Source organism: Homo sapiens, chromosome 16 (genome assembly GCF_000001405.40).
Source record: "Homo sapiens chromosome 16, GRCh38.p14 Primary Assembly".
Lineage (NCBI taxonomy): Eukaryota > Metazoa > Chordata > Mammalia > Primates > Hominidae > Homo > Homo sapiens.
In genome coordinates this window covers 25,645,669-25,671,861 of record NC_000016.10, presented here as the reverse complement: position 1 = coordinate 25,671,861, position 26,193 = coordinate 25,645,669, and the positions used below count along the sequence as shown (strand labels likewise).

General features: G+C 39.0%; 1 long non-coding RNA gene across 2 annotated transcripts; it reads left to right on the top strand.

Moving 5' to 3' along the window:
- Positions 1–414: 414 nt before the first annotated feature.
- On the top strand, positions 415–22,474 carry LOC105369297 (uncharacterized). Of its 2 annotated transcripts, XR_950938.2 has the most exons (5): positions 640–1,005; positions 16,869–16,941; positions 17,477–17,579; positions 18,993–19,133; positions 22,305–22,474. It is a non-coding gene; the product is annotated as an uncharacterized LOC105369297 (long non-coding RNA). The 2 variants fall into 2 exon arrangements; XR_950939.2 differs by lacking the exon at positions 17,477–17,579 and having other exon boundaries at positions 415–1,005.
- Positions 22,475–26,193: the final 3,719 nt, after the last annotated feature.

Sequence of the window (26,193 nt, the reverse complement as noted above, 5' to 3'; positions counted from 1 at the left end):
TAACTAAAAAAGCAATTAACTTTAAAATACTTTATTGTTAAAATGCTAATGATGATAGGAGCCTTCAGCGAGTAGTAACCTTTTTACTGGTGGAGGGTTTCCCTTGATATTCATAGTTAGTGACAGATCAGGATAATGGTTGTTGAAGGTTGAGGTAGCTATAGCAATTTCTTAAAATGAGACAATGAAGTTTGCTGCATCAACTGACTCTGTCTGTTTCATGAAAGATTTCTATGTAGCATGTGATGCTGTTTGATAGCCTTTCACCCATAGCAGAACTTCTTGCAAAATTGGAGCCAATCCTCTCAACCCCTGCCACTATTATCAACAAATTTACATAATATTCTAAATCCTTTGTTGTCATTTCAACAGTGTTCACAGAATCTTCACCAGGAGTAGATTCCATCTTAACAAACCACGTTCTTCGTTCATCCAGAAGAAACAACTCCTTGTCTGTTCAAGTTTGATCATGAGATTACAGCAATTCGGTCACATCTCCAGGCTCCCCTTCTAATTCTGGTTTTCTTAACTATTTTCACCACGCCTGAAATTTCTTCATCCACTGAAGCCTTGAACCCCTCAAAGTCATCCATGAGGGCTGGAATCAACTTCTTCCAAACTCCCGTTCATGTTGATATTTTGACTTCCTCCCATGAATCATGAATTTTCTTAAAGGCATCAAGAATGGGGAATCCTTTCCAGAAGATTTTCAATTTGCTGTGCCCAGATCCAACAGAAGAATCACTATCTATGACAGCTATAGCCTTACAAGATGTATTTCTTAAATAATAATGCTTTAAAGTCAAAGTAACTCCTTGAACCATGGACTGCAGAATGAATGTTGTGTTAGCAGGCATGAAAACAATATTAATCTCTTTGAACATCTCCATCGAACCTCTTGGGTGACCAGGTGCATTGCCAATAAGCAGTAATATTTTGAGAGGAATCTTCATTTCTGGGCATCGAGTCCCAATAGTGGGCTTAAAATACTCAGCAAACCATGCTGTAAGTACATGTGCTGTCATCCAGGCTTTCTTCTTGCATTTCTAGGGCACAGGTAGAGTAAATTTAGCATAATTCTCAAGCGTCCTAAGAATTTCAGAACAGTAAATAAACATTGGGTTCAACTTAAGTCACCAGCTGCATTATCCCCTAAGAAGAGAGTCAACCTGTGCTTTGAAGCTTTGAAGCCAGACATTGACTTCTCCTCTCTAGCTATGAAAGTCCTAGATAGCATCTTCTTCCAATAGAAGGCTGTTTCATCTACACTGAAATTCTGTTCTTTAGTATAGCCACTTTCATCAGTATCTTAGCTAGATCTTCCAGATAACTTGCTTCAGCTTCTATTATCAGCAATTGCTGCTTCACCCTGCACTTTAATGTTACGAAGATGACTTCTTTCCTTAAACTTCATGAGCCCACCTCTGCTACCTTCCAACTTTTCTTCTGCAGCCTCTTCAACTCTCTCAGCCTTCATAGAAAGAAAAAGATTTAGAGGTTTACTCTGGATTCAGCTTTGGCTTAAGGGAATGTTGTGGCTTGGTTTGATCTCCTATCCAGACAAACAAAACTTTCTCCATATGTGCAATAATGCTGTTTCCCTTTCCTATCATTTGTGTATTCACTGCAGTAACATTTCTAATTTCCTTCAAAAACATTTTCTTCACATACACAGCTTGGCTATTTGGTGCAAGAGGCCTACGTTTCAGCCTATCTTGGCTTTTGACATGCCTTCCTCACTAAGATTTACAATTTCTAGATTTTTAGAGAAATCTACAGCTCTTCCTTTCACTTGAATACTTAGACGCCATTGTAGGGCTTTTAACTGGCCTAATTTCAATACTGTAGTGTCTCAAGGAATAGGAATGCCCAAGGAGAGGGAGAGAGTTGGGGAAATGGCCAGTTGTTGGAGCGTTCAGAATACACACATTTACTAAGTTTGCCATTCTAGGTAGGCACAATTTGTTGTGCCCCCAAAAAATTACAGTAGTAACATCAAAGATTACTGATCACAGATTACCATAACAGATACAATAATCATTTAAAAGTTTGAATTATGAGAATTATGAAAATGTGGCACAAAGACATGACGTGGGCACATGATGTTGGAAAGCTGACACTGATAGACTTGTTTTTTTTTAAGACGGAGTCTCACCATGTCACACAGGCTTGAGTGCAATGGCATGATCTTGGCTCACTGCAACCTCCGCCTCCCAGGTTCAAGCGATTTTCCTGCCTCAGCCTCCCGAGCAGCTGGGACTACAGGCGAGCGCTACCACGCCCAGCTAACTTTTGTATTTTCAGTAGAGATGGGGTTTCACCATGTTGCCCAGGATGGTCTGGATCTCTTGACCTCGTGATCCACCTGCCTCAGCCTCCCAAAGTGCTGGGATTATAGGTGTGAGCCACAGCGCCCGGCCAATAGACTTGTTTTATGAAGGGTGTCAAGCCTTCAATTTGTAAAAACCCAACATCTGTTCAGTACAGTAAAGAATAGGGCAATAAAATGAGTTATGCTTGTATTCTCTTACTACCCTTTATAAATATAAATACAGCTGTTGCATCAGCTATAATGTCTCCTTTTTTATATCTGATTTTATTTTATTTGAGTCTTTTGTTTCTCAATCTAGCTAAAAAAATGTTCATTTCATTTGTCTTTTAAAAAAAGCAACTCTTAGTGTAATCTTGCCTGTTAGTTTTCTAGTCTCTGTTTCATTTATTTCTGCTCTGATCTTGATTATTTCCTTCTACTAAGTTTGAACTTAGCTTTTTCTTGTTTTTCTAGTTCTTTGAGGTGCAATGTTAGGCTGCCTACTTTTGATCTTTCTTGTCTTTTGATATAGGTGTTTACTGCTATAAATTTCCCTCTGAGAACAGATTTTGCTTTATCATATAGGTTTTGTATGTTGTGTTTCCATTTTCATTTGTTTCAAGAAATTTGTTAGCTTCTTCATTTACCCATTGGTTGTTCACGAACATGTTTAATTTCTACATATTAGTAAATTTTCCAAAGTTCTTTCTGTTATTGATTTCTAGTTTTATACCATTGTGGTCAGAAAAAATATTTGATATGATTTTCATCTTCTTAAATTATTTTACTTTATTTCTGACCTATGATTTATCCCAGAGAATCTTCCTTGTGTTGTGGAGAAGAATGTGTATTCTGCATTTGTTGGATGAAATGTTCTGCATATGTCTGTTAGGTCCATTTGATTTTATTGTAGTTTAAGTTCCATGTTTTCATTTTGATTTTCTGTCTGGATGATCTGTCCATTACTGAAAGAGGAGTGTGTTGAAGTACCCTACTATTATTGCATTTTAGTCTCTCTCTCTCTTCAGAACTTAGATGTAAAGAGAGAGAGAATAAAATGCAATAAAAGTTGAAGATCTTAAGCCTGAAGAGAGAGACTCTCTTCAGATATGTATTTGGGTCCTTCAATGTTGAGCGCATATGCATTTACAATTGTTGCATCCTCCTGCTGAATTGACTCCTTTATCATTCTATAATGACCTTCTTTTTCTCTTTTTAGAGTTTGACTTAAAGTCTATTTTATCTGATATAAGTATAGCTACTCCCGCTCTCTTTTGTTTTGCATTTGCAAAGAATATATTTCTTTTTCTCTTCACTTTCAGTCATGCATCTTTACAAGTGGAATGAGGCTCTTGTTGGCAGTATAGTCTTGTTTTTTGTTGTTGTTGTTGTTTTTGTTTTTGTCCATTCAATCACTCTGTGTCTTTTGATTAGAGATTTTAACCCATTTACATTTCAGGCAATTCTTGACAGGTAAGGACCTACTACAGCCATTTTGTAAATTGTTTTCTAATTCATTTGTTGATCCTTTGTTCCTTTTTTCCTCTCTTGCTATCTTCCATTGTGGCTAAGTGATTTTTTGTGATCATATATTTTGATATCTTGCTTTTAATTTTTTGTGAATCTACTATAGGATTTTCTTTGTGGCTACCATGAGCCTTACAAAAAACATCTTATAATTACATATAGCAGGTTATTTTAAGCTAATAACAACTTAAATTTGATTGCAAAAAAAAAAAAACTCTACACTTTTACTCCACCTCCCCACAGTTTGAATTTATATTTCACAATTTACATCTTTTTATATTCTATATCTTTTAAGAAATTATTGTAGTTTTTATTTTTTAAACAGTTGGTATTTTAACCTTCGTATTAAAAATATAAGTGACTCACACGCCATTACACCATTAGAGTATTCTGAATTTGGTTGTCCTCTTACTTTTACTAGTGAGTTTTATACTTTCAAGTGTTTTTATGTTACCCATTAGCATGCTTTTCTTTTGGCTTGAAGAACTCCTTTTGCATTTTTGTTTTGTTTTGTTATTTTTAAGAAACGGGGTCTTGCTCTATCACCTAGGCTGGAGTGCAGTGGCACAATCATTGCTCACTGCAGCCTCAAACTCCTGGACTCAAGTGATCCTCTCACCTCAGCCTCCCCAAGTAGCTAGCTACAGGTATGCAGCACCATTCCTGGCAAAAACCTTTCATCATTTCTTGTAAGAAGAGTCTTACGGTAGTGAACACTCTCAGCTATTGTTTGTCTTTGAAAGTCTTTATCTCTCTATTTCTGCAGGTTAGTTTTGCTTAGTATTTGGTAGTTGTTTTTTTGTTTTTGTTTTTGTTTTTTTCTTCAGCAGTTTGAATATACCATTGCCCTCTCTCTTGGCCTGTAAGCTTTCTGCTAAGAAGTCTTCCGTTAGCCATATTGGAACTCCCTTATATTTTTTTTGTTGCTTTTCTCTTGCTGCTTTCAAGATCCTCTTTGTTTTTTTATTTTCGACAGTTTGATTATAATATGTCTTCAGGTAATCTTATTTGCATTGAATCTGACTAGAGATTTTTTTATTTTTTTGTACCTGGATATTTATATCTTTCTCCAGGTATGGGATGTTTTCTGCTCTTGTTTTTTTAAAATAAACTTTCTATCCCTTTATCTTTCTCTACTCTATCTCGCACACCAATGACTCATACATTGGCTCTTGTGCTGCCCACCCGTAAATCCTGTAAGCTTTCTTTATTCCTTTTTATTCTTTTTTTATTTTTCCCTTCTGACTCTGTATTTTCAAATAACTTGTTTCTGAGCTCACAGATTCTTTCTTCTGTATGATTAATTCAGCTATTGATGTTCACTGTTGAATTTTTCATTTCATTCATTGTGTATTTCAGCTCCAGGATTTCTGTTTGATTTTTCTTTTATTATTTCAATCTCTCTAATAATTTTTTTGTTCTGGTCACCAAGTATTTCCATCATTTTGTTGAATTGTTTATCTATGTTTGTTTAAAGTTTGTTGTGCTTCCCTAAAACAGTTCTTTTGAATTATTTGTCAAGTAGTTTATATTCTATTTCTTTAGGGCCAGTCACTGGCACTTATTTTGTCTTTTTGGTGGCATCATGTTTCCATGACTGTTCTTTTTTTTTTTTTTTTTTTTTTTTGAGACGGAGTCTTGTTCTGTCACCCAGTCTGGAGTGCAGTGGCCAGATCTCGGCTCACTGCAAGCTCTGCCTCCCGGGTTTACCCATTCTCCTGCCTCAGCCTCCCGAGTAGCTGGGATTACAGGCACCCACCACCACACCCGGCTAATTTTTTGTATCTTTAGTAGGGACGGGGTTTCACCGTGTTAGCCAGGATGGTATCGATCTCCTGACCTCGTGATCCACCCGCCTCGGCCTCCCAAAGTGCTGGGATTACAGGCGTGAGCCACCGCACCCGGCCTCCATGACTGTTCCTAATGCTTGTGGTTGCGTGTCAGTGTCGGCACATTTGAAGAAGTAGGTACTTATTCCAGTCTTCACAGAATGACTTTGCCTAGGAAAGCCTTTGGCAGGCATGGCACTGGGTCACACCAGAAACCAGAGGCAGCTGAGTCCTGGGATGCAACAGAAGCCCAGGGCCCACTGTGACAGGTATGGCACTGGGGCAGGCCAGAAGCCTAGTGCAGATACAGCCAGCATAGCACTGGGGCACACCAAAAGCTGCCTGCCACTGAGAGCTCTATGGAGCCTGGGCCACTGAAGTAGGCTTGACATAGATGTGACACAGAGATGGAGTCTGCCACACAAGCCTGAAGTCCAGGGCTGCATGGTCATGCCTGATTGCCAGGACAGGTCCAGCTGCTCAGTCTACAGACAGCAACTTGAAATATGGGTCAGCAAGGGGTTGCCTGGTTGTTCTTATTTCCATTTCATCCTGTTCAGTGAGGAATAGGACATATATAGCCTTTTCCTATTTGCGATATACATAATTTCTCTTCAGTTCGCCGGAATGCCCATCAGGTTGCTAAGTGGTCTATTACTTCTTCCTGCTCTGAGGCTTAGAATTATTTCATATGCATAGCCTTTAGCCAACTTTTTGGTTAAAACAGATAATTATTATGAAACCTTCTAGTTTAGCCAACTACCATTAATTTTTCTAGTTTAAAAAAGCCAACTATTCCTTAAAATAATAATGTGGTGTTCTAAGAAGTGATATCTTGATACCACCACCTGATTGTCTTTCTAAAATATTTAGAATTTATTTCTGGATAGGCTATTTCTGCATTCATGATAAAAAATCTACAACCTTTACTATATGCTACTCCTACAGCTCTTCCAGCTCATTTTCTTCCAACTGCAGATTTCAGATCACAACTGATGCTTAGTAAGGGTGTTAAATGACTCTGACTACCCTAGTAAATAGCTTCCATATTGAAGAAAATTTAAATTTCTTTAACCCTGATGGAAGAAATCTTGTCAAATTTCTTGAGATATTTTTTCCATTAGTGGTTCTACCATTTTATCTGTAGGCTTTAAAGAGTTAAGTAATGAAAGTTTTTCCTGTTTTATAGCAAGTGATCGTTTAATATTCCTAGTTCCTGGTGCTATTGAAATTCTTCATGTCCTCTTGAATGTTTACATCTATATGAGTATGGGGAATGGCCAATCCAAAGGCACTAGCTTTCTATCATCATAACTCAGAATTAAGTAGGTTCTGATTATGTCATTAGGGTGCATAAAATCTTTCAAAGGTTTCCAACTATATATAGTGCAAAGTAAAAACTTTCAGATACCATGTGAACTCTTTACAGTCTGGTACCAATTTATCTTTCCAACTTCATATTCACTTCTTGCCATATATCTCAAACTCTCACCACACTAAATTATTAATCTTTCTTCAAACATGCCATGTAATTTCAAACCTATTTTTCCTTCTACTTTTGTTCCCTCTGCCTGAAATGCCCTGGCTCTTCTAGCTCAGTGGGAAATTCCCATTTACTCTTCAAAGTGGAACAGAAAATGCATCTCCACTTTGTATTATTCCCAATGCCCAAGGCAAGTTAATTGCACCATTCTCTGTGGCCCCGTAGAACATGGTACAAAGCTTTATTGTAACTTTATTCTATTGTGTTTTATTTAGTTGTGCCTGTGTTTCTCTCTTCTACTCAATTTGACCTATTTGACACATATAGTAGGTTTTTTTTTCATCTTCATATCTCACCGGGATTATCAAGTAAGTATGTCCAATAAAGGCTTTTTGTCTTTTTTAAAGTGGTGAATGAATGAATGAATGGATGAAAAATTATAACTATCAGAAATATTTATTCAAAAATAGTATTTTAAACATGAACTTTTAGATGTCTTTTTTCTTCCATCTAACTACTAAACTTTACATTTTTTTCTGAAAACATTTTTTTAGAGTTTTTGTGCTTAGTATTCATACTTTTCACCTTAACATAGTAGGTCTTAATTGTTAGCCTAATCAACTCCTACATATTTAACTTTTACCTCATGTGCTTATCCTTCATTTATATTTCCTTGAAAACTATAATAACTTCCAATCTTTTATCTTAAATTTTGTCATTTATATATTTTAAAAAGCTTTCAAGCTTTTAAATTTTTGATTTAATAATTTTTGTGTCACTTCTTAGTTTTGTTTTAAATTTGTATTTGTTTGATTTTAGCCTTCTGTTATCTTAACTCTTCTGAAACTATTACAGTTCTCACTGAAGTTTTATTAAATTGTATTACTGGTAAATTTTATTACAAATTAATTATTCTATTGCCTTAAATAATTTTTAATCAAAATAATACTTGCATATAGAAACAAATAAAATACAAAGTTATTTTGGGCCAGGAGCAGTGGCTCACACCTGTAATCTCAACACTTTGGGAGCCTGAGGCAGGAGGATCACTTGAGACTGGGAGTTCAAGACCAACATGAGCAACACAGCAAGACTCTGTCTCTGCAAAAAGCCAGGTTTCATGATGTATACCTATAGTCACAGCTATTCAAGAGGCTGAGGCAGGAGGATCTTCTGAGCCCAGGAATCTGAGGCTGCAATGAGTTATGATCATGCCACTGCACTCCAGCCTGAGCAGCAAGAGAGATCCTGTACCCTACCCTACCCACCCCCAAGGATCATTCCACTTATAAAGAAGTCTGAAATGAAAAGTGAAAATCCTGCTAACCAATCTTCAACCTTTCCAGACCTATTTCGTAGAAACAGCTAATTGAAGAGTTTCTGTTGTTTAATTATCTTAGTGGTTACCATTATAATTTTAAATTATATGCTTATATTTCTTTTTTTTTAATTTACTAACTTTAGATACCATCCTTTGACTTCCTGCTTATGATAGATAAGAAATTTAGCTTCTTTGCATTACCACCATCTTCCTCTCCAGCCCAAGGTTTTATTAGTTTTATTATTTTTATGTTGACAAGTTTATAACTCTTATACAATTTTCTATATATCTAATTAAGTGTTCTGTACTTTGTCTATGCATTAATAATAAAAATTGAAAATAAATGAAAAAACACTAATTTTCAGGTTGCAATTATATAAACATTATTCATTAACTATCAAGTAACGAGAATAGATCCATTAAGAAGATATTTAGTGTCATTAAAATCCTTCTGCTTAAGAGAGAATTTCTCAAATCCCAGGGTTCAAATATAGCCTCTTTTAAAGTCTTTTTAATTTTCTTTGCTTCTTCTGTATGATATTCAGCTATTAATTTCTTACATTTTTGTTTGTTTGTTTTGCTGGAGCATCTCCTTGAGTATTTTTTTTTTGTGAGGTCCTTGATTGAATCCTAAATTTCTGTACATGTCTTTAAACTGCTCTTTTAGAGTTTGACTAAGTATTGAATACTAGGTTTAAAATCATATACCCTCAAAAATTTAAGGGTATATTTCACTTTCTTCTGGCATCCAAGATCACTAATGAGAATTTAGTTTGACTCCCCTGTCACTGCAAGTGAACTTTATTTTGTATGTCTGGAAGCTTTTAGTATTTCTTCTTTCTCCTTAAAGTCCAGAAGTTTTTCTAGATATGGATTTTTTTTAATGTATACGGATTCTCTTTGAAATTCTTTTCAAACTGAATACTTATGACTTTGTCTCAGGGAAGTTATGTTATAGTAGATCATTGAATTTTTCCTCCCTTTATTGACTATTTTGTCTGCCTCTAGAACCCCAATAAAAGAAACAGCAGACACCTATGCTGCTTAATATTTCTCTCAGACTTCTTATTATTTTGCCTTTTGCTCAGGGCTGCATGATTCCATTGAATTTTATCATCAGATCACTGATGTGATCATTAACTACATCCATTTTCTTACCCAGTCTGCCCGCAGAATTTTCTCTGTAGTGCCACACATATTTTTAATTACCAGGGACTCTCGTTCTTGCTCTTCGGTTTGCCTGTTTTCACAGCAGTCGCCTGTATTTTATTTATTAATGTTAACATTTCTCATGTGCAATTTCTTTTCCTTACATATTTGTTGACTCTGTTGTTGGTTCATGTTTATGAATAAAGATCTAGGCTGTGAAGTAAGGAGGTTTTCATTTGCATTTGTGTAGCTCTGTTCACCAAGACACTTCTCCTTGGGATGCCTCTGCTAGTGGGTAGGGTGTGATAACTGAAAAACTTCATTTAAGAGATGTGGATAAAGGGTAGGCAGGCTGTAGACAATGACTCAAAAAAAAGGAAGACTTTATTCTTAGCAGTGAGATACTTTGATATATTCCTTTTTGAGCAAACCTGTCTTGCCTTTCTTTTTTTATGATTTGCCTGTTGTGTGTTTCAGAGTTTCCTCAAACTCTGCTTTGCTTCTCATTCATGGTTTTACACTCAAATGAGGGGGCATCTCGGTGTAGCTAGAATTATTTTTTCTTCGGAGTGCACAGCTTGGATTCTTATGTGGGACCAAAAACTTCTGTTCTCTGCTGTATATATTCAGGGAGGAAGGTAGAAGGGGCCCAACTAACCCCACCTTCCAAGACTCAATTCTTTAAGTCAAATATCTTCGGCATATATTTATTGAGTACTATGATAAGAATGCAAAAATGGCTATAAATTGTGCTTATCTCTGTATCTACCTCTGTTTGCAATGTGACTTTAGAGCTCCTCTTAGCAAGAGGTGGGGTCTATTTCTTCATACCTTTGAACTTGGGTGTGGCCATGTGACCTGCTTTGTTCAACAGGACTATAGAAAAGTGACTTGAAACAGACATATGAAAATCACTTGCACATTGTGATTACTTACTTCCTCTTGATGCTCTTGGAGCCCTACAACTCTGTGAAGAAGCCCAAGCAAGCCTGCTGGATAACAAAGGGCATATGGTCCAGATGGCTTTGTTGCCCTGATCAACAGCCAACTAGACACTAGACACATGGAAAAGACTTCCTGGATTATCCAACCACCAGCCAACCTAAAAGCAGACTAAGGATGCTTGAAAGAGCTCCACAGAGATTAGCTGAGCTCATGCAGATAAGAACTGCCTAGCTGACCCGAATCATAGACTAAATAAAGTGTTGTTGTTTGAGGCCATTAACTTTTGGGGTCATTTGTTACACAGCAAAAGCTAACTGATACAAGCACCACATTGTATTAATGTTCCAGATGCTGTGGATACTCTGATAAACCAGGTAGATAAGATCCTTGCCCACAGATAATAATAAAGAAATAAACAAATAAGACAATCTCAGAGACTAATATGTGCTGGGAAGGAAAGGAATCAGAGTAATGTGATAGAGTGACAGGCTAGGGTTGGGATCTAATTTAGATATTGTGGTCAGAGAAGTTGTTTTTGCTGCATAGGTGAGGTTTGAACTAAGATCTGAATGACAAGGAAGAGCCAACCTTGTCAGGGTCTATGGATAGATTGTTGCAGACAGAGGAAATAGTAAGTGCAAAGGCATTGAGGTAGGAACATATTACATAAAGGGACATAAAGCAGGCCCATGGAGCTGGAGTATTACATACAAGGAGAGAGAGTAGGATGCAAATTCGATGAAACAGACCACGTGGACTCAAACTATAATTAATTTATTAATCACCTTGATACTTGTTCCATATCCCTGTCCTTTATAGTTGTGGAGTAGGAGGTTGGAAGGTTTTATTTATTTATTTATTTATTTATTTATTTGTTTAATTTTTTAGAGACAAGGTCTCACTCTGTCACCCAGGTTGGATTGCAGTGGCACAATCATAGCTCACTGCAGCCCCAAACTCCTGGACTCAAGTGATCTTCCCTCTTCAGCCTTCTGAGTAGCCAGGGCTACAGGTGTGTGCCACCATGCCTAGCTAATTTTTTTTTTTTAAGTTTTTAGAGAGACAGGATCTCACTATGTTGCTCGGGCTGGCCTCAAACTCCTGGCCTCGAGCACTGGAGCTTGGAGTTTTTAAAGGACTCCTTTGGGAAGGATTCCTCTTCCTTCTGGAATTTGGGGCTACAACTTTCCATGATCTGTTTTATTCATTAATCAGATCCCATCTGTGTTCTGTATTCTAAGATTTCTTCGAAATGTTCTTCTCCAGGTACTTGCCTCTCTAGTTCTCTAGCATTGTTGTGGACTGGTTCTTTTAAAAATGCAGGGTTTTGTGTTTTTTTTTAACATTTGAAGGACCTTGGTATATGTCTGTCCTCAATTCATCTTTAGTTGAAATTCTCTTGTCTCATTTTAAAATGTGTGGCTTTATGCTCTTCTTAATCTGTTATGTTTCTTTTGTTATTCTGTCTTTTTTTCTCTTTGTTTCTTCTCTTTTATAGCTTGTCTTTAGAGTGGCCGTAGGAAATGAGGCCTCATTAGGATATTCATTCACTATCCAATACATATTTATTGAGCACCTTTTATCTTCAATCACAACCAAAGTCCTTCTTCCCTGCCAATTGCCCTTGCATCCACCTGCCTTGCTCAGCTCCAGCTGAGTTGAGTATAGCTTATCAAAATACCTCATGCTGGGACACTGAGGAGATAGGGTTAATTCTTCTCCCTACCTTAATCTTCATGGGATAGTTAACACATTATTTGTTGGCTTTTGATATCTCCGAATTCATGCAAAAATTTGTATTTTTAACTCCCTTGTCATCTATCTATCTCTCTATCTTTCTTTCTTTTTATCTTCATTGAATTTTATGTGCCTTAAGTCAGTAGGGGATGGCACATAGGATGTCCTACCTGGGAGGGATGGACCATGTTACCCCACAGACCACAGAAGATCCTTCACCCTTCTAGACCAAGGGCTTGAGCTTGGTAGGCATTTGTAAACTTTCCAGGCATAGGAAACTTCACTCATCCCTCTAAAGCAGATAAATACACTTTTTTTTTTTTCTTTTGAGACAGAGTCTTGCTCTGTTGCCCAGGCTGGAGTACAGTGGTGCTATCTTGGCTCACTACAACATCCGCCTCCTGGGTTCAAGCAATTATCCTGCCTCAGCCTCCTGAGTAGCTGGGATCACAGGCACCTGCCACCATGCCCAGCCAATTTTGTACTTTTAGTAGAGATGAGGTTTCGTTTGCCACATTGGCCAGGCTGGTCTCGAACTCCTGACCTCAGGTGATCCACCCACCTTGGCCCCACAAAGCACTGAGATTACAGGCATGAGCCACAGCACCCTGTTTAAATATACTTTTATACAGAGGGTAAAGTACTTGAAAAGTGATACTAGCAGTCTTCAGAGCCCAGCACATACTCATATTTTCTTTCACAAATCTGTTGGACCCCTTCTAGAACCCCAAAAGTACAAAACTCTACCGCATTGCTACTTCTTTATGGCAGTACCACTTCACCCATTCCTTCAATCCCAGAATCAGGAGGCCAGAACACCCAGAACAAAGAGCAAGGGATGTCACCCAGCCCTAGGCCATTGCATTGCAGTTCTCTTTTCCTGGGACACCACTCTCCCTGCTTCTCCTCTAAGCCTCTTACCCTGATTCTCACTCACCACCCAGTCTCAGCTTATAAACTATTCGCTCACAGAGAGTCCTTCCTTTCTTTTCTAACCTTCTTTCTTCCCTCCCCAAGTATAGTGGATGCTGTTAGTGCCCTGCCCAGGTCCCTTAACCGGTGGTGAACTCGTTCTTCAGTTGCTTTGAGTATTGGTTGCTAAGGTGACACTGCTTTTCCTGGTTACTCCCCACCACAGGGGGGCCAGTGTCCAGTGACTATCTGGGGTACAAAAGGCCAGTGCCTGGTCTCAAGGTGGGCCAGAGCTTCCTGAGGTATCAGGCTGAAGTGAGCCTCCAGCTGAGACCACAGTCTTGCTTAGTTTTCTTCTCCCATTTGCCTCACGTCCTCTCTCCAGAGAGCATTTCTCCAATAAAACATTGGAGCAAAGAACATTTCTTCTTTTCACAACAATCTTCATCTCAGGCCCTGGAAACTGACCTACAACACTAGCAAAGCTTTCTTTAAGAGTTTTTCTATATGTATTCACATAACTAAGAACAACTTTTCTCCCTGTTCCCTGCACTTCTGACTGTGAAGCAGCTTCACGTGGTCAGACTGCTGTGTGAGCGGTGCCCCCTTGCCACACAGTAGCGCCGTGTCTGAGACCCTTGAGGAGCTTCTCCCTTTTAGGAAGTGAAAGTGGGAGAGGAAAAAAGACACCGCACAGGCATTCTGTCTGGGAGGCTGTGCTGGCATTTCTGAAGCAAAGCCATCTTTTGTCTGAACCAATGAAAAGGGTTATTTTTTAGAGGCTTTAATAAAATCATTTAATCAAAAATTCAATATAAATATTACTCTGTGTTAATCTTCAAGAACTAACAAGTCAATCTCAGATCTATTCATTCCCTGAAGTGAAACTAATTTGGTTAAGGGTGGGACTTTTGGGGACGTTTAGTTTCCAAATAGTTCAAAGTTGAAAGCCATGATTCAGTATCTTTTCCCAAATATAACCCCTTAGGGGACCACAATAATAGCACAAAGAAATAAAACAGAATTAACTTATGTTTGAAGAGCCTATAGAGATATTAACTAATGGCATGAGATCCAGAGGATGGTTTAGAAATCAGTTCATATGCAAATATATTTAAACACCAGTCCCTTGGCGCTTGCACATTCAGTACTTACCATTTAGATTATTTGAAAGTGACTCTGAGATGAACGATTGTGAAATTTTGTCAAGGCATGAACTCAACTCACACATAGCATGAAGTTAGAATGCAAAAGTTGGTAGATGGTGAACCAGCAAACTTACCAGTCGGCACTGACTTGTTGTGGTTGCAGTAACTCACGTACAGGCATTTCTCATTTTTCCAGCTGTTAATGTTGCTCCCGGAAGTGCAGAGGTGAAAGGAAGCAATGGCAAGCACGGATAGAGAGTACCTGATACTGAAGCTCTTGCACCTGTCAAGTGATCACTATAGTCCGTCTATGTCAACCACCATGACGGCTGCCTTAGGAACTAATTTTCTGAATGTGCAGTTAAGAAAATGGAAGCACTAGTGTCCAGTCTTAGGGAAGAAGATGGAGCTTGGGCTTCTGTTAAATTGCAATTTGAAGGTGGTTTAAGTGACCAATCCCTTACTGTTTCCCCAACTTTTCCCACCTCAGTTCAAAAAGCCATCACCGGGCAGGGCACAGTGACTCACACCTATAATCCCAGCACTTTGGGAGGCTGAGGTGGGAGGATAGCTTGGAGCTGGGAGTTAGAAACCAGCCTGGGCAACAAACAAAGACCCCATCTCTTCTAAAAATAAAAAAATAAAATAAAATAAAATAAAATATAAAATAAAATAAAATAAAATAAACAAAATAAAATAGAAATTAGCTGGGAGTGGTGACACATACCTGTGGTCCCAGCTACTTGGGAGGCTGAGGCAGAAGGGTCACTTGAACCCAAGAGTTCAAGGTTGCAATGAGCTATGATCGCACCACTGCACTCCAGCCTGAGCAACAGTGAGACACTATCTCTAAAAGTACATTCATTAATTAAAATTTGAATAAAAAAAGAAGCCATCAGTTTATAGACTCAGGCAGGTTAGTTGCACCCAATCCCTTATTCACAGAGTAGGTTTGCTTTTACTTAGTCATCTTTATTTTCTGTTGCATCATCATCATTTTAGTTGCTAAAGTTTGAAACCTTGGTCTTTGGCCCCTATACCGTTATCCTTCTTACCTTGCCTCCTACCAGTATCCTCAGGGCCATCACCATCCTTCATCTTTTGGCTTTGATTGCTTGGCCTTCTCATGGGATGTGGCCATCACTTCTAAACCACTTGAGTTACTTAAAGGCCTGGCCACAGCTTGGATCTTTGTATATTACTCCGAGTCCCTCCTCCTCCAAGAGGGCATCATTACAAGGACCCATTGGGAAAATCCTTTACTTTGGCTCTGCTACCAACATCTCCCCCTATGCCAACTTGTGCTGATTTTTCTTTATCATGTGAAAGCATGTGAGATTAACTGTTTTGACTCTTTTCTCTTGTTTTAAAGACAGCAACACCAAGATCTGTGCTGCCTCCCGGAAAGCATAGAAATATGAAACCAGAACAGGGAAAATGTGTCTGTAAATTTGTAGCTTAAAGCCCCATGTATTTAAAAATCATTCTTATTTGCCTTGTATCTTTTTTATAAAATGTATAGAGACTCTTATCCCTTGGTGTTCTAAGTAAGATTAAAGAAACTGGCCGGGTGTGGTGGCTCAAGCCTGTAATCCCACACTTTCAGAGGCCAAGGCAGGTGGATCACTTGAGGTCAGGAGGTCGAGACCATCTTGGCTAACACGGTGAAACCCCGTTTCTACTAAAAATACAAAAAATTAGCCGGGCGTGTTGGCGGGCGCCTGTAGTCCCAGCTACTTGGGAGGCTGAGGCAGGAGAATGGCATGAACCTGGGAGGCGGAGCTTGCAGTGAGCCAAGATCGCGCCACTGCACTCCAACCTGGGAGACACAGTGAGACTCTGTCTCAAAAAAAAAAAAAAAAAAATACAAAAATTAGCCAGATGTGGTGGAGGGCGCCTGTAGTCCCAGCTGCTTGGGAGGCTGAGGCAGGAGGATCACTTGAGCCCAGGAGGCAGAGGTTGCAATGAGCCAAGATGGTGCCACTGCACTCCAGCCTGGGTGACACAGTGAGAAACTCCATCTCAAAAAAAAAAAAAAAGAAGAATAAGACTGTTTTTGGATAGCACCAATAACAGAAGGGGATATCTTCTCTCCCTGATGATCTTGGACAGAGGTTCAGCCGCAAGCTAGGACAATCACTCTGAAACCCGCTCCATCATCAAATGAACCACAGCATGCCTGGGGCCCAGGGCTGCCCTGACTAGTGGGAAATTTCACCTTCAGCCGCACGGCAGGAACTGTGCAGGTTCTAATACCTGAATAGCAGTTGGCATTGAATTTGACAGACAGTAAAGGGACTGATAAATCTTTAACCAGTTTTTATTCTTTTGATGTTTTATAATTTTTATTTCATTTCCATCAATGGAATGGGATAAAAATGATTGTGCCCAGTGAGAAGATGTAACCCTAATGTTGACCTACTCTAAACATAGTGTGAATTCTGAAACCCTCCCCACTTGTCATAATAATTTCTCCTTCCACCTCTTCATTTCTATTTTCCCCCAGAACCTGTTGTCTGCCATGACCAGGAGCTCCATTCTCACACCTCTCTTTCTGGCCTCGCTCATCTCAGCCCATGGTAAGCCACATCACTGATTCTTATAAGCATTCTTGATGCCTTTGCCTTCATGAAATTCCATTACCTCTGCCTTCCCGGTTCCCAGACGCATCATCCATTACCCACTTCAGTTCTTAGACTGTCAGGCACTGCTAAGTAAAGGCACAAAGGTTATTTGCTTTTTTATCTACTGGGTCCTTTGATGCCTTTAATGTCTTTGATCCTCCCCTGGTTGACTACAAAACACATTCTTTGAGGACTTCAAATTTATTCCACTCTGATCAGGGTTTTTATTCTGTCCCAATTGCCAAACCCTTCAAAATTTATATTTTGTAGGGACCAAGTCCAGCCAGTGTGAGTTTTCTCAAAACCTCTCTTATTTACACCAAATTTATATTTTTATGGGCCTCCCCATTTTTTCCTTCTTGTCTCAATAAATTTTCATTAGCATTATTCAATAAAGTTGAAAATATACATGGTACATAACTTGACATTTTTTCTATCTCTTCGTCTTTTTGTCCATTTTCACATTGACTTATTCTATTTATTTTTTTAGATCTCTTTTACTTCTTGGGGAGATGAAACCTTAAAGAAAGCCATGCTGATTATCTATTTCCCTTTTCTCCAGAATGTAAGCCCACTGAAAAATAGACACAAGGGTAAGCCACTGTCATTGTGGAGCTCAGAGTTCAGTGGGGAAGGTGGAGTACAAATAAATATTCCAGTGCCATATATGCACTATAACGGATGTCTACTCAAGGTATAGTTGTGGGACTAAGAAACAGATTAACTTACAGGGGAGTAGAAGCAGGAAAGCATTTCAGACAAGCTACAGCTGAGCCAGGTATTAAAGAACTAGTAGTTCAGTAGACCTGAATTAGTAGTTCAGATGGGAAGGTATCCATTAAATATCCGCTAATTTAATGAAGGAAGCGTCTATCACACAGAGAAAATAACGTGCTCAGAAAGAGTCCCAAAATTAAAAAAAGCTCAGCTTCCTTAAGAAAATGCAGGCGCAGTATAGCTAAATCAGGTAGGAGGAAGAAAGTGATGGCAAATAAGCCCAAGAGCTCAAAAAATAAGAAAAAGGAGTATAGGAAAAATAATGAATATAGATGAAGGAAATAATACTGATAAAAGCAGAAATTTGGGGCTTAGAAATGATAAAAATAGTAGAGTTGACAAATTATTCCAGGAGTTGTTTCTTCAAAAGAGAGAAAGAGTAAGGGGATGAAGGAAGGCAAGAGAGAGGAAAGGAAGGAGGAAGGAATGAAAAGAGGGAGGATAGACAAAGCTCTTGCAAGTTTAATCAAGGGGAAAAGGAACATACACGGAAATTAAATTTATTAAGGATGTATTTACAGAGTGCTTCATGCCTGTCAGGTCTTGTGCTAGGTGTTAGGGACAAACAGCTGTATAAAAGACATGGCCTCTGCCTTCAAGGAGCTGAGTTTTAATGAGAAAGTCCTACTTTAAATGTATAATTTTACAAATAAACAAAACTACAAGTTGAGAGTGATATGAAAGGAAAGTAAAGAGTACAATCAGAGGTTATAGCAAGGTCAAGAAGTAAGTTGGACCCGGGCACTGGATCATAAAGACTCTTTTAAAGATGTGACATTTAAGCCAAAAATCTGGCGAAGAAGTTAGCCAGGCAAAGAGTGATTGAAAAAGCAATTTGCTGTGGCTTGGATGTTTCCCTCCAAACCTCATGTTTAAGTTTGATCCCCTGTGTTGAAGGTGGGGCTTAATGGGAAGTGTCTGGGTCATGGGAGTGGATCCCTCATGAATAGATTAATGTCCTGGGGAGTGGGAGTGGGGGTGAGTTCTCTATTAGTCCCTGAGAGAGCTGGTTGTTAAAAAGACCTTGGCACCTTCCCTCTCTCCCTCTTGCTTCCTCTCTTACCATGCAATCTCTGCACATGCTGGCTCCCTTTCACCTTCCACCAAGATTGGCAGCAGCCTCAGGCCCTCTCCAGATGCCCAATCTTGAACTTCCCAGCCACTGGAATTAGGATCCAAATAAACTTTTTTTCTTTACAAATTACCCAACTTCTGCTATTCCTTTATAGCAACATAAAACAGATTAAGACCGAAGTCCAGCCAGAATGAAGGTCTTGAGGTAGGAAAGAACATGGCCAAGTTCACACAACTGGAAGAAAGTCAGTGAGGCTGGAGCAAACAAAGGAAGCAGAGAGTTACAAGACAGACAGGTAGTGGGGCCAGAAGTTCTGGTTTGGCCGGGATTGAGGGGTGGTAGATTTGGGGATGTGGGACTTTCCATTTTAAAACTGGAACACTCCTGGGGAACCCTGGATGAATTTGTCACCCTGTTTACAGACCTCATTTAAGATTTAGGAGCTTAACAGAAGAACAATATGGTAGTCATAAGTAGGGTAAGAGTAGTGAGGATGGAGAGAAGTGGATGGATTATAAAAATATTTAGGGGTCAAGTGATGGAAGTTGGTGACTAAATGACAGCCAGGGAAAGGCGGTGAAGCTGGAGGAACAATCAAGAATAACCTCAGATTTTTCTGTCTTTGGAAACTGGGGTATATGCATTAAAAAAGGAATGAATGCACAATAAATGACACTAAATTTGTCCTTTGACATCAACTGTCAAAGCAGAGCTCCAGATTTGATCATCATTGGTTACACAGAAGTAAATGTTGGCACCCTCCATCCCTTCCATCCATGGAGTGCAAACAGATACAGGGATTGGTAGCAGCCAAAATGTGCTCAAGAAAGAATTTGGAAGTTAGTTCCAACCTTTAAAGATGGGGAGTGCTCCTCACCTATTAAGGGGGTATGATTCAACATAATGAAAAGAAGAAAAGGACGCAGCCTTTGTTACTGACTCCATCCATCCTGCATTCAGATGGCATGTCAAGAAATGCATGGCTCTCATTCCCCAACCCCCAACTCTCAGACTCCAATATTTAACCCAGAGGAAATTGTAACTGAATTATGAAGTCCTTTCAAAGCTAGACATTTGACACATCTGTTATAGGAGCCTTATAAAAAGCACACTGGATGCTTGTAAATTTTATAATTATGTTAATTCAAATTCAAAGACATTCCCATGAATTTTTAAAAAAATATTTCCAACTCAAATCACAGAGTTTGTTCTGCCTGCCATTGAGATGTGGGGAATATTTGCTGTATGCACTAAATTCTCTTCTATAACTGCTCATGTCAGGAGAGCAGAGGACTGGAATGAAGATGAGCACAGTAGACTGAAGATGTAAGCTTATTGAACATGTAGGCTTAATCCAGGTCCAAAAGCACTATCCCAGTGATAGTCAGGTATCTAGATAGGCGGGAACTTGCTTTCCAATACTCTTGCATCTTAAATGGAAAGATGCTTTTCTTAGATGTGGGAGCAGAATGGTAGGATTGGGAAGGGCCATTAAAATCATTCAGCCCAATAGTATGCCCATGGTTGGTTTCTCAAGATTCATTTCCTCATTCACTAATTCAACAACTCTCGAATGAGGACCCACTGTATACAAGGCACTCTTCTTGGGAACTTCGGATATGTGAGTGAACGAAACAGACACAGATCCCTCCTCTCATTGATTTTACATTCTAAAGGGGTGAACTCAAGTAGTGAATAATGAAAATCAGCAAAAAACATGACAAATAAGTAACTTATACAGTACAGTACAGTATGTTAGAAGGTGAAAACAATTCTGTAAGAAAATAAGGAAAAGGGGAAGAGGGAAGAACTCCAAGTGATGACAGAGGGTAGGCAGGGCTGCAATTTAAATAAGGGTGGTCCGGTAGCTCTCACAGTAAAGACGACATTTTAAAAGGTTTGCAGGGAGTGACGGGGTTAGCCATGGGGATCTCTAGAAGGAAAACTTGGCTGATTGTTTTCTCTTTTTTCCTCCAAAACAGTCCAGTATAATCTAAAATGAGATCTTCAGCAAAACACTCCACTAGGTTCAGAAGCTAGGCTATGCTTGGTTCCCACCCATAAGTCATATCCCATAATTCATTTGCTTTCTAATACTCTGCATAAAATCAACCCACCCCCATCACAACCTCCATGGTCCCAGAGCCTCTACTGCCGTTCTGACCATCTCATAGCATGATAGGATAGTGTGGAATTGTCTGTTTAGGTGTTCAACTTATGTATGTAGCAGAATAGCAGCTCAAAGACTAGGACAAGCAGGGTCAGAACCGCACTCTGCCACTTAATAGCTGTCTGTCCTTTGCCAAATTATTTAACCTCTGTGAGTCTCAATTTTCTTACTTGTAAAGTAGGTGAAGATAATATGTCTATTAAACGGGATGTTCATTGGTATTACCAGAGAAATCATACGTAGAGCACTTGGCATAGTGCTTGGCACATAACAGGCAATTATTAAACACTTTTTGGTGGTGCCCAATTGGTGCCATCCGTTTCATCGCAAGATGCTCTTACCTTCCATTCTAGTTTACTAGCACCTAGCATAGGGGCCAGCACATATAATTAGGGTTATAGGTAACGGAGTACAATTTGTCCAAAAATACCGAGAAAAACAAGCCCCACTGGAGAACTCAGCCTTCTTGTCTGTTTGGTAAAGAGCCACCCATTCATTCACCAGATGAAAAGTATAAGCACACACACCAAAATCTGATTTTATCTCCATTTTTTTCTGAACTTACTGTCCTGGGAAGAGGAGAGTAAGGGGAAAATGTGTGGCAAAGTTGTTTCTTGTTTTCTTGCAACTCTCTACTAAACAAGCCTATTCTTTATTCAAAGTATATTATTTCCTGTCCCTTCTTTCTTTCAAAATGTATTCTTTGTCTAAAATTAAAACATAATAACAATAAAATTAATTCTCTGGTGTGTTAGGCTACAAGAGAGAAGTAGAATGTGATTCTATATATAGAAGGGCTTCGTAAAGAGAATCAAAATTCTGATCCCAAGTGCCTTGCTGTGTGGATAAAAAGTTAGGTACCAAATTTAAAAGACTATTTCCAAATCTCTTTGTTTACTGCATTTTCAAGTTTAAGGACCAACATCAGTGGTGCACAGATTCTGTTTGTGTGCATTAGACCCTGGTGGCTAATGCATAAAACCTATCATCTCCCAGCCCTTCTGGCTGTCCCATCAGAAACTAAGTGGTTATGACCTCTGAGCATCTCTGAGCCTCTTATGGTTGAGGAGCTGTTGGTGGCAGCCATATTCTGATCCAAGGAAAATTCCCAATGTGATCATTGTTGTTGTGAACTGGTTTGGATACAAGTGTTAAGTAAAAGCATAATCTGACATTGTTTTGTATCCAGGGTTAGTAAACTATGGTTTGTGAACCAAATCCAGTCGGTTGCCTAGTTTTGTGAACAAAATTTCGTAAATACTGTATGTGGTTGATTGATCTCCCTTTGTTCTGCAGTTGTCTCCTGGCCTGTTAAATGTGTCCATGACTACACAGAAATTCCTGCCTATTGCCTGCTTTCCTGATGGAGAAGTTCATGATCTGCAATAATCATCAGTGAACTGCAGCCTTTATGCCAATTCTGGCCCACTGCTTGTTTTTTTCAATAAAGTTTTGTTGGAACACAGCCATGACCATCATTTATATATTGTATGTGGATGCTTTCCAGTTACAATGGCAGAGATGAGTAGTTGTCACAGGAGTCACAAAACCTAAAGTATTTGTTATCCGACCCTTTACAGAAAATTTTGCTGACCACTGTTCCATGTGAATGAAGGTTTCTGAAGCATTTGCACCTAGAGAAGATTGTGAGATAATTAAGTCATCAACCAGATCATGGTGGTAGACACCTGCCCTCACACTCAAATAAACCTAGTGACCAGCATTGGGCCTAGAAACAGAAATCTTGATGTTGCAAAAAGATATCACTTGTCACATTAAATTAAAGATATTAAGAAATTGACTAGTCCTGTCAAATAAATTAAAAAATTTATTTGTATTTAATTTTTAAGTTTGTTTTGATTTTAGAGTTAATGTAATAGCTTAAAAAAAGGGGGGAATTTTTTTTTTTTTTGAGATGTAGTCTTGCTCTGTCACCCAGGCTGGAGTGCAGTGGCTCGATCTTGGCTCACTGCAACCTCCACCTCCCGAGTTCAAGCAATTCTCCTGCCTCAGCCTCCCGAGTAGCTGAGATTACAGGTGCCTGCCACCATGCCCAGCTATTTTTTATATTTTTAGTAGAGACAGGGTTTCACCATATTGGCCAGCCTGGTCTTGAACTCCCAACCTCAAATGATCCACCATCCTCGGTCTCCCAAAGTGCTGGGATTACAGGAGTGAACCACCATGCCCAGCCAAAAAGGGGATTTTTACCAAAATAATCTGTCTGTAAATATTTATTTTACTTTTGAATAAAATAATTTCAGTTGCACCAGAGCTCCTGGAGAAGTTTTGTAAGAAGCCTACCCATAAGTTGGGTTTGAGAAACACTGGTGAAGCATCCCTTTCCTCAGGCCTTAGCACACATCTTCCTGCCCTCCCCTTTTCCCTCTGCTCTAATGTATATCCTTCAACCAGGGACCAGCAAACCTTTTCTTTAAACAGCAGGTTGTAAATATTTTAGAGAGTCTCTGTGGCAACCACTCATCTCTGCTGTTGTAGCATAAAGGCAACCATAGGCATGGCAAAAGCAAATGGGTGTCGCTATACTCCATTAAACTTCATTTATAGACATTGAAATTTGGATATTCTATCATTTTCATGTGCTGTGAAATAGTCTTCTTTGGATTGATTTCCAATTTTTTAAAAATGCAAAAACTATTCTTAGCTCATGAGGAGGACTGGATTTGGCCCATGGGCCATAGTTTGCCAACCTCTGCCCTTCACTATTAATGAATGTATTCTTTCTAAACAGTAACTTTTTTTGTAGACCCTGTTTGTATTAGTCCATTTTCACACTGCTATAAAGATACTACCCAAGACTGAGTAATTTATAAACAAAGGAGGTTTAATTAACTCACAGTTCTGCATGGCTAGAGAGGCCTCAGACAACTTACAGTCATGGTGGAATAGGAAGCAGGAACCTTCTGACAAGACAGCAGGAGAGAGAGTGCATGTGAAGGTGGAACTGTCAGACACTTATAAAGCCATCAAATTTCATGAAAATTCACTCACTATCATGAGAACGGCATAGGGGAATCACCCCCATGATCCAATCGCCTGCCACCACGTCCCTCCCTTGACATGTGGGGATTATGGGAATTACAGTTCAAGATGAGATTTGGGTGGGGTCACAGAGCTTATCACTGCTTGAAAACCTGTACTTGGCCTACTGTTTGTTTGTGTCAATAAGGTTTTATTAGAACACAGCCATACCCATTCACTTATGTATTATTCACGGGTCCCTTATTTCTTACAGGATTAAGTTTATGCAGCTCTTAAGAGGTGAATTCAATTATTTAGGATATTTTTTCTGTCTAATTTTCCTTTACATCCCTCCATAATAATCGTGTTCTGAACACGGTGGACTAATGACCGTCCCCTGTTATTCTGTTGTGCTGTTTTCAAGTTATTTTGCTTTTTCCTAAATGGACTTTATCTCCCCAAAATGCCCTTTCCCTCATTCTTCATCTGTCAAAGCCCTAAATGTTTTTCCTGGCCTGTCTCTTCCATACAGTGTCTCCTGTCTTGTACAAGCCCAGCTAGCTGCATGGTTCTCCACTGTGACATAGTGCTCAATTCCTCTACTATGAATAGCATTTATTATGTTAAATTCTAATTATTTATCAGAGTGTTTTATTACCCTGATTACCTCATGTTTTTGAGAGGAGAAATTACAGCAATCCATCTCTGTATCTCTGTCTAGTACAGTATCCTGGCACCAACTAGATGCTCAACAAAGATTTGCTTCATGAATGCTGCAGCAATTATTAGTAATAGAAATAACAGCTCATATTTATTAAGTACTCTCCATGCTCCAGACGCTGTAATGAGTACTTTGCGTACATGATCTGAGTTCATATATCAGATCCAGTACATTTTCTCCTCCCACTCAGTTTTTTTAATTAGGTCACAACTCCTTCATTTCACAAGGCACTGTACATTCAACAGTAGATTAGGGATCAGAGACAGGCTGATGGGAGAAATATTTGGGTCCCTAAACCACACAAACTCTGCCTTACAATTAAGCAAGTTCCATCTACTTGCCCTATGGCAGCCCTGTGCTCTACACAGAAGAAAAGCTTACCAAATTCTTACTAGAGAAAAGATAAAAATAAAGTCTAGTCACTTCAGCAGAATTCTGCTTCATCTTTGTCACTGGGCAAAATTAGGGGCATGTCCTGTGTTATTGGAGTTGCTAGAACACAAACGAAGTCCAAGTTGAGTCAAAGAGGACCCCAGAGACCTGACTGTGCATTGTCCTCCTGGCTGAAGTGAGAAGAGAGTCGCTTTGTTTGGCAGTGGAGGCTTTCCAAATTTAGAGAGTTCTTAATGACTCTTCAACTGCATTACATCCTGAGGATAATTAGTAATGTTGCTGCTTGGCTGTTCAGCACCAATCAATCAAAGAGGATACACAGAACTTGCAATAAATCCAGAATTTGAACCCATTCCAGTGAGGAAAAGGTATCTCCTTCAAGGTTCAATAAAAGAGGTTCATCATTCTGGTAAATACATTTAGAAAGGCAAAAATTAAATGAACAAGAGGCTTAGCTTTTGTGCAGTTACAATTCAGTTTTGTCTTGTTCTTCAGTGGTTGGGGATGAATGGCAAAAAGATCTTTATGTGGAGATATCATAAAAGAAGAAAAACAGGTGAGATAGTGAATTTCTCTGAAAATGGCAAGCACTGTCATCTCTTCTAGCTACCTGTGCCAATACTACTTTCCAGAAGTGTCTACTCAGGTTTTTCGTAATCTGCAGCATGAATTGTGCTAGATACTGGGGCAATTACAGGCAGACTCAAGCACAGTATTTGCTCCTGCACTGTCTAAGCAGGAAGACCTGTTCTTAAATTAAGTGAAGAAGGGAGATTCAACACTTTGGGGAAGCTGTTGAGCAAGGTTGAGGAACATGAGTACAGAGAAATACCCACTGGATTTAATAAGATGAAAGTAAGAGTGATGTTGGACAAGGGGTGAGTGGAAGGAGAGGTAGTAAAGAAAATGAGTGTCGACAATTGTTTTTATAAAATTTCCTGTGAAAGTGAGAGCAATATTGCAAAGTTTAAAGGGGACAGAAGAATCCAAAATGCCTTTTCTTTCTGTCATATTGTTGTGTTTTTTAATGTGGGAGAAGCTTATCTATTTAAATTATAAAAAGGATTTTTGATGTCAACCACTGATCTG